The 13,045-nt window shown below is 37.1% G+C and overlaps 1 protein-coding gene across 3 annotated transcripts in view; it reads right to left on the reverse strand.

The window, feature by feature from the left end:
- Positions 1 to 13,045, reverse strand: part of EXOC5 (exocyst complex component 5) — a 68,399-nt gene that overhangs the window by 44,361 nt on the left and 10,993 nt on the right. For all 3 annotated transcript variants that reach the window (NM_006544.4, XM_005267272.4, XM_047430882.1), the window contains exons 2-3: positions 2,751 to 2,845; positions 1,844 to 1,991 (exon numbers count right to left, since the gene is read on the reverse strand). In NM_006544.4, coding sequence (NP_006535.1) covers positions 1,844 to 1,991; positions 2,751 to 2,845 — 243 coding nt within the window. The remainder of the gene's footprint in view (positions 1 to 1,843; positions 1,992 to 2,750; positions 2,846 to 13,045) is intronic.

Here is a 13,045-nt window from a genome sequence, read left to right on the forward strand (position 1 = left end):
GCCCTGCAACCCCAGCTAGCTGGGAGGCTGAGGCAGGAGAATCGCTTGAACTCAGGAGGCAGAGGTTGCAGTGAGCTGAGATTGCACCACTGCAGTCCAGCCTAGGTAACAGAGTAAAACTCTGCCTCAAAAAAAAAAAAAAAAAGTCAGTGGTAAAATATACCAATTTATTTTAAATATTTAAAAAGTGATGTTTATATATAAAGTAAAATAGTTCTTTCCCAGTTTTGAAAACAGAAAAGTAGCAATTATTCTACTAAGGCAAAGGTATATTACTTTCTAGAATATTCTTTCCCTTCTCCCAGGGTACACTGATTGTCCTGTGGCATATGGAAATTGAATGCAATGAATGCCTTGTAATTGCCAACAGTGGAATTGCTGATAATCTAGTGTGGGACGTTTTTCCAACCTTAAACTGAGGTGGGGAAGAGCTGTAAACATTTATTAAGGACTTTCTCTGTGCTAGACTAGACACTGTTCTAAGCATATTACATGTATTTACTTATATAATTCTCTCAACAACACACTTTACAGATTAAAAAAAAACCTGAGCCATGAAAAGGTTAAATTGCTTGAGATTACACAGTTCATAAGCGGCAGAGCTGAAACTCAAACTCAGGCAGACTTGTCCCAGAGTTTATTAGCTTAACTATTATTATTATTACCAAGGGAAAACTGCATTAAAAGTATTTAGAAACTGTCACCTTAACTCTTAAAAATGCATTCCTTATCTTAAATTACTGACTTCCTTATTTCTCATAGCCACATATGTTTAAGAAAAGGAATCTAAAAAATTGAAACTTTAGCAGCAATCAGTTTGCTAATCCCTAACACTAAAGAACTAATGATCCCTGAGAGGCAGCAAAGCTAAACAATATTCCAAACTACACTAAGGGAAATCAAGGCCAGGAGCAGTAGCTCACACCTGTAATCCTAGCACTTTGGGAGGCCGAGGCAGGCGGATCACCTGAGGTCAGGAGTTCAAGACAAACCTGGCCAACATAGCAAAATCTCTACTAAAAATACAAAAAAATTAGCTGGGTGTGGTAGCATGTGCATGTAATCCTACCTACTCGGGAGGCTGAGACAGGAGAATCACTTGAACTTGGGAGGTGGAGGTTGCAGTGAGCCAAGAACACACCACTGCACTCCAGCCTGGGCGACAGAGTAAAACTCTGTCTTAAAAAAAAAAGGGGGGAATCAAATTCCAGATAAGGCCCAGCCTGTGAATGGGATTCAGAGGTTCCAGATTAAGTCTAGGACCTAAGAGTGACTAAGAAGTTTGGCCTGCTGAGCCCCAGGACCAATCTAGTGATTTGGTTTTACTCCAAAACAGATCAAGGCAGTTTTTCCTACAGTTACACTAGAATTCTCATTGGAGCATACCCTCATGACTTTTGTGAAACTTCCCAGACCAGGTTTTCTCAAGGGAAAACCTAATTCAGACAATAGCTGCTTTCATATTACTTTGTTTTACGATTAAAGAGAAAGCAAATGACTACCTAAATATCCAAGCTAATAAAGAGTTCCTAAAACTAGGGGTCTACTGAAGTGTCATTCTTCAAAGTTCGCATTGTTAGAGGAGAATCAAGGACCACACTAAACTGGATACCACTCTATCCTAAGAAGAGTACTGTGATCCTAAACCAACACTCTGTGGAAAGCCAATGCCAAGAGTACTTGATAACAATTCATTAACATTTTACCCCATGGGACTAAAGCAGTAGAAAGAAATCTTGACAGTTACTATCATCTGACTAGACTTTTTTAAGAGCTTAAAACTGGAAGAAAATAAAGATATTATAGCCTATATAAAATACCCATTTCTTAACAAAACGTTTACCTGATTGCTTTTCTGCAGCTCTTGTACCTTCTTGGCAAATTCCTTGGCTTCTTTCTGACATTGTTGCTCTAGTTTCTCTACTTTCCTCTGAATCCTTTCATCCATTATCTGGAGTTCCTGAATATGATTTACAAATTCTTCTAATAATCTAACAGAGGAAAGTTTGAATATGTATCAATCTACCTATTATTAATCCTTAGGAACTGACCAGTTAACTTATAATCATAGTCTTAATAAGAAGAGTTCCTTGAGCTTGAAATGATCATGTTAATTTTTTCTATAGCATCTTGTTAGAAATTTCTTCATCAAAAGATAAAGTCTTTCTGTAATTTCATAACTTCCTCATAGTTTTGTCCAGGCCACATGGCTTTAAAGCAAACATGACATTTGAAAATATAGCCAGGCTTTAACTATTGACTTTTTCGTGGATCATCTCAGAGGTGAATGAAAACCTCACCCAGAATCCCCAATAAACCCCTAGAATAGAAATACACTTTATAGCCTACTTAAAATAGTCAAGAAGGCAAATGTACTATATAAAAATAATAATATACATTCCAGAGTTCAGTGACTTTGTTCCCCCAATTTACAAATATATTTAAAACAATGTATTTAATGTTTTTATTTTAGAAGTATAATCATTTCTAGTTTATGACTCATTAGAAGAAATGTCAAATTCTTATACTCAATAAAATTACTTCCTGCATACCAGTTAAATTGCTTCTTTAAAAGAACGTCAAAGAAAAAATCTCAAACTTTTAATGCTCTGTTGTATTGTCTTTTATTGGCCAAATGTTAACTAAAATCCTTGTAGAGGAATGCTGAAAGCAATCTCAACAGTCATCTCTATTCTAACACTAATGTGTACCAGATTAGATCTGTGGGGAAAAAAATTTTTTTATTTCACCTTTTAGGATCAAAAGCTTCAGGTCCACCTCTAGAGCCTCCTCCTGGGGTTCTCCATACAAGACGTTCAATATATTCATCTGCCACAAAAGGCTCCTAGTTTACAAAAAAATACGCTTTAACAAAGTTTCATATACAAGTACTTAATATTACTTATAAAATTAAAACAGCTTCTACTAGGTAAAAACTTAAAATGAAATTACTAATTGTTTAAATACATCTATATTATTAAAATGTACAGATTTTTTCAATTAAAAAATCTTCAATAAACAAAACAAATTACTTAATGAAAATTAGGATATTAAAATACTAGAACAGTATTAATGACCAACTGGAACAACTCAACAGAAAAATGAGCAAAGTAAACAAACAAGTAATTTGTAGAAGAAATAAAATGGTCAAAAAAATTATTTTTAATGTACAGCCTTACTAGTAATCAAATAAGATCAAATTATCCTTTTTTAAAAATCTCACAAAGTTTTTTTTTTTTTTAATTATAATGAGCAAGGCAAGAAAGGATAAACTGAAATTTATACTCTCAGTATTGTTAGAAATGTCAACAGGTACAATCTTTTTGGAGGCCAGCGGGTAAGTATTAGGTAACATCAGTGTGTTACAAATGCTCGTATACCCTAACAGTAATTCCATTTTTAAAATCTAAGGGAAAAGCATATATGAATGCAAAAATCTCTGCAGAATGTTCATTGAGCATTATGTATATTACTAAGAAATTGTTTACATAAATATTCACAAAGCCATAGTTGACAAATTAGGGTAAACTTACAGGATGAAAAACAATGTTCCTTTTAAAATCATGATAATGTAAAAAGTTTAGAAATGAGAAAAAAGTCTAACATATGATAGCTGATGAAAAAAGCAGGATACAAAATCTTTTAATTTTCTTAAAAAAAAATTGTTTAAAAAAGGATATTAGAGAAGGCTCAATCAAGAAAATAAAATTTCAAATGTTCACCATCAACAGATAATACATTTTTTAGACTAATACACACTAATTTACATACTTTTCATACTACCCTCTTTCATGTAAATGGATACCACATATTGCCTCCTACCTAGCATGTAACTTAAACTAGTTGGTGATTACAATTTGAACTTTTATATCTGCAAAGTTTTTTCTTAAACCTTTAAAGATATAAAGTGCTGACATGTTTGAGAATTAAGTCCCAAGGATGAATTAATATCCTTCAAAGTAAAAAATATGCCACCCTGAAATACAATGAACTCATTTAGCAACATATTTAGATAATCAGCCTCTAGTCTGCCTCACTTCTGTCGAAACAAGAGTGGATGCGAATCTAAAGATTTTTAACGTCATCTAAAATTGAGAAATATTGACTCAAGATGAACTTATATTTAGAGCTACTTAGAACTTTAGAAACTAAGCTACTTAAAAATTTTAGAAAACTTGACCATCACATGAAATACCCCTATATAATGAAATGGTGATGACAGCTAAAATTTTTTAAGTACTTACTATGTGCCAGGCATTGCCTAGTATTTTACATACTTTATCATATTCAATATGTACTATGGTAAGTAGTAAGTCTACAAGGTAGGTTCTATTAATACCAATTCAATTTACAGTTGTGAAATTAGGAAGTAGTCAGCCCTTTCAAAAATCTACAGTACTTCCATTAAAAAACTTCATATAGTAATCATATCCCTTTCCCTATCATTTTCTTGGCATACACATTAGTATACTTAATAATCTTAGTTCTTATGTGTTATTAATTTTATGTGTTAAGTAATCATAGTTTTCAATTAAACACGTTATACTGTTCATCAATTTTAATATATTTTTATTAAATGACATACACTAAAGACTTATAAATAGCAGGTATTTACTGACAAAAAATTAAGGATTTTTTCATACAAAATATTTTCAATTACCTGAAAATATAGTATTCCTTCATTCAGCAAATATTAATTGAGGACCTACTACGTGCTAGAGACTATTCTAAATATCCAGGAAATAGTAAAAAAAGGAGGGAAAAATCTCTGCTCCTCTGGATCTAGTGGAGGAGAGTGACAGATAAACGAGCACAAAAAATGATACAGCAAGAAGAACCATGAAGAAAATGAAAGAGGATACAGAATGATGGATAAGAGTGGGATGATGATGATGATGATGATTTACTTATTTATTTTTTTGAGACTGAGTTTCGCTCTTGTTGCCCAGGCTGGAGTGCAGTGGCATGATCTCGGCTCACCTCAACCTCCACCTCCTGGGTTCAAGCAATTCTCCTGCCTCAGCCTTCCTGAGTAGCTGGGATTATAGGCATGCACCACTATGCTTGGCTAATTTTGTAGTTTTAGTAGAAACGGGGTTTCTCCATGTTGGTCAGGCTGGTCTCAAACTCCCAACCTCAGATGATCCGCCCGCCTCAGCCTCCCAAAGTGCTGAGATTACAGGCATGAGCCACCAGGCCTGGCCAGAGTGAGATTATCTTTGAAAGAAGTCACCAGGCAAGGCCTTTCTAAGAAAATAAATTTTGAGCAAAGATCTGTATGCAGCTAAGTAATAAGCCATCTGCGGGAGGTAGACTCTAAGCACAGGGAACACTCTTGGTATACAATCCATGAAAAGAGGCCAGTGTGACTAAAAGAGAGTGAATGCAGGGGAGAATAATTGTGGATGAGGTCAAGAGAGGTAATGAGACTCCAGAGTTTATACCAAAGTCTTATAGGATGTACTATGATATATTCCCTGTTATTGACTGAAGAAAAGGCCAGGTTCTCAAGAAGATAAGGTATTACCTTCTTCTTGGGAATGCCTATACACAATAATAATTCTCCTATTCCTTCTCCCAAAAGGAGCTACCACCATTTACTTTAGTACACTAAGGAAAGAAAAATATGCAAATATTTTGAAGTCTATTGGATATACGGTGCTAGTTGGCACTGGCACCTGATTGACCCAAAGCATCATGGACCGTGTCAGAGTGAGAACACATGGGGGCTGGGTAATAGATTCCTGGCCAAGATCTGGCAGAGTCAAACCAATATGTCCATGAGCATACCTAGTGGTCATTTCTGCAGTCTACAAATGTTTAACAGGTATAGACACACTTAGGGGCTGATATGGGTCTACAGAATAAGAACTATTATAATGAGGAAGCCCAGGTAAAAATCCTAAAGTCGCCCCTGTCCAGTTGAGGTAGCTAATCATGCAGGATGGCAAAAATTAATGCTACCCTTAAGAATATAAAGTAGAGATCTACAATGTTTTTCTTAAAAGACCAGATAGCTAGTATTTTAGGTTTGCAGACCGTACAGTCTCTGTTACAACCATTCAACTCTGCCACTGTGGTGCAAATGCAAACATACACAACACATGAATGAGCATGGTTGTGTATCAATAAAACAGACAGGATTCTGGGAAGATGGTGGAGTAAATCTGTCTCTCCATCTAGGTAACAACTGCACTCGCAGAATCTTTCTATTTTGGAACTCTGTAGGCTAGTGAAGGCTTATATCTTCCCAGGGGAAGGCTTAGACAAGAAAATGTGGTAATTTTGGTCAATTTCAGCTCTTAGCACAATAGCAGCTACCCAGGTCCCACCCTAGCCCTGTGGCAGAGTGCTGTCCAAAAATTCCTGGAACAACCTGCACACAGCTTGTAGGGGCCAGCATGTCCAAAAAGGACCCTGTCCTCCAAATATCTGAGATCCCTGCTCTGAGGGCTAATTGCTGCTTCAGACCACAGAGGCATAAAGAGGCTGGTGGCCTTTCTTGTTGCACCTTCCCCATTTTTGCAAGCTCCTCTCCCTCTGGATAAAGTGACTGTCAGAGGATTTAAGTAAATGGATCAAAGAAGAAATTACAAGGGAAATTGTAAAATACTTATGAATGAAAATAAAAACACAACATACAAAAACATAGGACACAGTGAAGGCAGTGCTAAGGAGTAAATTTGCAACTAGAAACATTTATATTAAAAAATAAAGATCTCAAATCAACACAACTTTAAAACTTAAGTTATTAGAAAAAGAAGTATAAACTTAAGTAACAAGAAAAAAAAGAAAAACTAAAGCCAAAGCTAACAGAAGGAAGGAAATAATAAAAACTGGAGCAGAAATTAACAAATTAGAGAATAAAGAAACAATAGGAAAAAAATTAATGAAACCAGAAGTTGGTTTTCCGAAAAGATCAACAAAATTGAAAAGCCTTTAGCTAAACAGACTAAGAAAAAAAGGGAGAAGGCTCAAATTACTAAAATCACAAATGAAAATGAAGACATTACTACCAATTTTATAGAAACAAAAAGGATTATAAGACAGCATTACAAACAATTGTATACCAATGAATTTGATAACCTAGATGAAATAGAAAAACTCCTAGAAACACAAAATCTACCAAGGCTAAATCCTGAAAAAACAGATAATATGAATACACCTATAGCCAGTAAGGGGACTGAATCAGTAATCAAAAATCTCCCAACAGAGAAAAGCCCTGGAACTCATGCCTTCACTGTTGAATTTTGCTAAACATTTTACAAAACTAACACCAAGCCTTCTCAAACTTTTCCAAAAAACTGAGGAAGAGGAAACACTTCCTAATTCACTGTATGAGGCCAGCATTACCCTGATACACGAAAGCCATACAAAGACTGTACAAGGAAACTACAGACTAATATCCCTTTATAAACATTCATGCAGAAATCCTCAACGAAGTATCAGCAAGCCAAATTCCATAGCATTATTAACATGATTACATACAACCCACAGAACAGGAGAAAATATCTACAAACTATACATCTGATAAGGGGTTTATCTAAAATACATAAGGAACTCAACTCAATAGGAAGAAAACAACCTGGATTTTAAAAATGTGTGAAGGGCAGAAACAGACATTTCTCAAAAGAAGACACATAAATGGCCAACAAGTATACGAAAAAATGCTCAACACCATTAATCATCAAGGAAATGCAAATTAAAACCTCAGTAAGGTATCACCTCACACCTATTAGAATGTCTATTATCAAAAAGACAAAAGATAAGTGTTGGTGAAAATGTGGAGAAAAAGGGAACCCTTGCACACTGTTGGTGGGAATGTAAATTACCACAGCCATTACGAAAAATGTTATGGCGGTTCCTGAAAAAATTAAAAACAGAAATACCATAATGATCCAGCAATCATACTACTAAATATATATCCAAAGGAAATGAAATCAGTATGTCAGAGATATCTGCACCACCATGTTTACTGCAGCATTATTCACAAAAGCTGAGATATGGAATCAATCTAAGTGTCCATCAATGGATGAATGGATAAAGAAAATACAGCATATATTCACAAGGGAATACTACTCAGCCATTAAAAAGAAGGAAATCCCGTCATTTGCAAAAATATGGATGAACCAGGAGAACATTATATTAAGTAAAATAAGCCAGGAATAGAAAGACAAATGCCACATGACCTCACTCATATGTGGAATTTTAAAAATTTGATCTCATAGAAGTAAGAGTAGATTGGTGGTTACCAAAGGCTGGGAAGGCTAAAGCGGAGGCAGGGAGCAAGAAGAGAGCCTGATTAACAGACACAAATATGTAGTTAGATAAAAGAAAAACTGAAAAATTAGTTGCCATTTCTATATACTAACAATGAACAATCTAAAAAGGAAATTATAAAAACAATTCCATTTACAACAGCACCAAAAAGAACAAAGTATTTAGGAATAAAATAAGAATTAACAAAGGAGGCTAAAGACTTGTACAGTGCAAACTATAATACTTCGAAAGAAATCAAAGAAGTCACAAATAAATGGAAACACATCCTATGTTTACAAACTGGAAGACTTAATATTGTTACAACGTCAATACTACCCAAAGTGATCTACAGATTCAACTCAATCCTTGTGAATATCCCAATGACTTTGTTTTATTCAAAAATAGACAAACCCCGAAGAGCACAAAACAATCTTGAAAAAGAACAGAGCAGCAGGACTCACACCTTCTAATTTCAAAACTTACTACAAAGCTACACTGATCAAGACAGTATATGGTACTGGCATAAAGACAGACATACAGAACAAGTGAACAGAATAGAAAGCCTAGAAAAAAAACCCTCACATATTTGGTCAAACAATTTTTGACAAGGGTGCCAAGAACATTCAAAACAGAAAGGACAGTCTTTTCAGCAAATAATGCTGGGAAAACTGGGTATTCAAATGCAAAAGCATCCTTACCTAACACCAAACAAAAATTAACTAAAAATGTCTCAAAGACTTACTTGTAATACCTAAAACTATAAAACCCTTAGAAGAAAATACAGGGTAAAGCTTCTAGATACTGGATTTGGCAATGATTTCTTGAATATGATACCAAAGCACAGGCAACAAAAGAAAAAAATAGACCAATCAGACTTAATGAAAAATTTTAAATTCTGGACTACATAGAACTCCTAAAATTTAATAAAAACAAGTAATCCAATTCAAAAATGGGCTAAGGACTGAACAGATGTTTCTCCAAAGATATATAAATGGCCAATAAGCACATGAAAAGATGCCTAACACTGGCTGGGCGCAGTGGCTCACACCTGTAATCCCAGCACTTTGGGAGGCAGAGGCAGGCAGATCTCTTGAGGTCAGGAGTTCGAGACCAGGATGGCAAACACAGCAAAGCCCTGTCTCTACTAAAAACACAAAAATTAGCTCGGTGTGGTGGCGAGTGCCTGTAGTCCCAGCTCTTTGGGAGTCTGAGGCAGGAGAATCACTTGAACTCGTGAGGCAGAGGTTGCAGTGAGCCCAGATCACTCTACTGCACTCCAGCCTGGGTAACAGAGTGAGTGAATCTGTTCCAAAAAAAAAAAAAATGCCCAACATTACTAATATTTAGGGAAATGCAAATCAAAACTACCATGAGATGCCACCTTACACAGGAAATGGCAAAGGGCCTAGCTATCAGAGAAGTAAGTTAAGATTGGAAGACCAAGGACAAGAAAGTCTGGAGTAGAGAGGCATATGGACTATACAATGAAAGAACTGTCCTCCCAAAATTCATAGGTTGAAGACTTAACTCCCAATGTGATGGTATTTGGAGATGGGACCTTTGGGGAGGTAATCAGTGTTAGATGAGGTCACAAGGTACAGGCACTCATTATGGGATTAATGTTCTTACAGGAAAAAGAAATCTCTCTCTGCACAAAGAAGAGATTACGTGAGCACAAAGTGAGACGGTGGTGCCTACAAGCTAAGAGAAGAGGCCTCAGCATGATAACTACCTTGCTGGCACTTTGATCTTGGACTTCTCAGCCCCCAGAACACTGAGAAATAAATTTCTGTTGTTGAAGCCATCCAGTCTATGGAATTTTGTTATGGAAGCCTGAGCTGACTAAGACAGACAGATACATGAAACTGGATGCAAAGTATGAAGTTCTTTGTATAACATGTTAGCACCAGAGAACATATACCATGAAAGAGGAACTAAGCAACCAAGTAGAAAAAATGACTTTGCTTGGCATTAGCACTCTGAGCACATGAACAAAGCAGACACAGTACAGACAACATGGCCCCAACTGCAAGGGGTCCTACTTACCAAGGCTGATCCAGCTACTGTGAAACCAAATATCTAGCCTAACAGTGACAGAGACCAACTCTAAGCCCCTAAAATAGCCCCATTCAAGACTAATCACATGGTTGGCAAGTTGACTACACTGGGCCCTTTCTACCCTAGAAAAAAGAATATTTTACTTTGATAGAAGTAGAAACATTTGAGATGGATTTGCCTTTCCTCAGAGGCAGTGTTTGTTCCTCTGGCACAGGACTCCACATACCATATCACACCAAAGGACCCAGGCACCCAGTTTACAGCAAAGGAGGTAACCATGGGATTCACTGGTCATATCATAAACCACACCAACCAGAGGTAGGCAGACTAACAGAGCACTGGAACACCCTGATGAAGGCACAGCTGAAGCACCAGTTCAGAGGGCATACTCTATTAAAATGATGCACTGATCGGGTGTGGTGGCTCAGGCCGGAGCTCAGGAGTTCGAGACCAGCCTGGGCAATACAGTGAAACCCTGTCTCTACTAAAATACAAAAAATTAGCTGGGTTGGTGGTGGGCACCTGTAGTCCTAGCTACTCGGGAAGCTGAGGTAGGAGAATTGCTTCAACCCAGGAGGGAGAAGTTGCAGTGAGCCAAGATCACACCACTGTACTCCAGCCTGGGCGACTGAGCAAGACTCCGTCTCCAAAAGCAAAAAAAAAAAAAAAAGGAAGCACTATTCTCCAAGATGCAGTATATATTCTGAATTAAAAGGCTTTATATGATGCTGTGACTCCCATAGGAAAAACACATGAGTCTGGCAACAAGAGGTAAAAGCAGAAAGTGGGTTCACTTATCATGACTCCCAGTTTGTGCTTGGGATCCCTGTAACTCTAGGTTCTTCCGGAATAGTCTTGGTGCCCAAAGAAGGAACACTTTTGCCTACGAACATAGTAAGAGTGTCATTAAACTATAACTACAAGTACTGCCTGGTCATATTGTCTCTTTATATCTAGGGAATAAGAAGAGGAGTGATCATCTTTGGCTAGGGCAATCAACCATAATGATCAGGATGAGGCAGGGCTGCTAATACACAATGGGGGCAGAGAGCAGTATGTTTGGCACACAGATGATCCTCTCAGGGATCTCTTAACACCCCCTCAACCAATTCTGAAAATGTATGGACAAGTGTTACAACCCTGGCCTAAAAAGGGTATTATAACCAGTTAAGATACCAAGAACATCAGAGGTACCAGTTGAAGGTAAGGCAGAGTTACAATCGATAGTAGAGGTGAGAGACAGTGAATATCAGTTGCAACTCCGAGACCAGCTATAGCAGTGGGGGCCACAGTTCATCTCACTAGCCTTCTTCTTCTAATTTTCCTCCAGGATGAGACCCAACCAGAATGTCAGAAGAGCTGCTCCCCAAATGTATATGAAGAAGTAAAGTCTAATAGTGGAACAAGGGTTGTCTGTGGTGAACACAATAATGTGCCATCCAGATTGCCCTTCAAGAAGGGACTTGCTCTAACTGCTAATAGTGCTGTCAACAAAAAGCCTTCATGGGCAGATTTTCAGGGACCTCATCAGATGCAAAGAGACACTTCACCCAATGTCATGTCTTTCCCAATGTGATCCATACCCAATGACTGATTAAGATGGGAGTATAAGGGCCAGACCACTTTGGTCCAAAGCAGGACAACTCTGACAGGTCATTTTAGTTTCAGACCTCCCCACAGAAGCCATCAACACTGCCACTGGACGAAAACTGTAACTCTACTTCTCCACATGCTCAATCTTGTATCCTTGCTCTGCCCCTCATAAATGTTCATCCAAGGTTACTTCCTAATAAATATTCTGCATACTAAACTGTCTCAAAGTCTGCTTCCCAAAAGACCCAACCTGCAACACCTTAGTAGTCCAGTCAAGAGATGGCAGTGACTCAGATGAAAGTGGCAGTGGATGAGGTGCTGAGAAATAGGTTCATGACGTCTTAAGGCATGCATTCATATAAGTTGCTGATAGACTGGATATGTGGAGAAAGAAAAAAAAGGAATAAAAGATTACTCATTGAGGTAGAGGTTTGCAGCCAGGACAACTTTGTGAATGGTGGTGCTAATTACTGAGATGGGAAGATCAGGGAAGGAGATGGATGAGGGAGCAGTGAAACAAGAGTTTTGTTCCACATATGTTAAAGTGTAGATGCCTATTAGATATGTAAGAGAAATATAGAGCACATAGATGGAAAAACAAATTTTTACTACACGGAAGAAGCTGGAGCTTCACAAAATTTGAATCATCAACATATAGATGGTTACTTAAGGACTGGTTGAGATCTACGAGGAAGAAAGGCATGCCAAGATTTGGAGATAAGAGCAGGAAAACAATCCAACAAAAGAAAGCAAGAGGCACCAGTGTAGGTGGAAGAAAATAAGAGGTCAGTGTCCTGAAAGCAAAGTACACATTTTATCCTCAGAGACAAATTATCACAAGGGTTTACGAGAAGTCAGCAATTGATCCCCAAGGGATGGAAGTTCCAAAAAAGCAAAAAATAAAAAATAAATAAATAAATAAAAATTTAAAAATTCTGCTTATATAAGCAAATAAATCCTAATGCCTTGCTTTCTAATACTTTATCTTGCTGCAAAGGCGCTTACAGTGACAAAAAGCCAAATTAACAAATCCTAAGACCTCCAAATGACCAAGTCCTCCCAAAAGACTTCTCAAACAATTCCCTGTAATACAAATACCTGTAAAAAAATTTTTAAATCCTTCAGAATTTTATAA

The sequence above is a fragment of the Homo sapiens genome, chromosome 14, assembly GCF_000001405.40.
Source record: "Homo sapiens chromosome 14, GRCh38.p14 Primary Assembly".
In the NCBI taxonomy this organism is placed as follows: domain Eukaryota; kingdom Metazoa; phylum Chordata; class Mammalia; order Primates; family Hominidae; genus Homo; species Homo sapiens.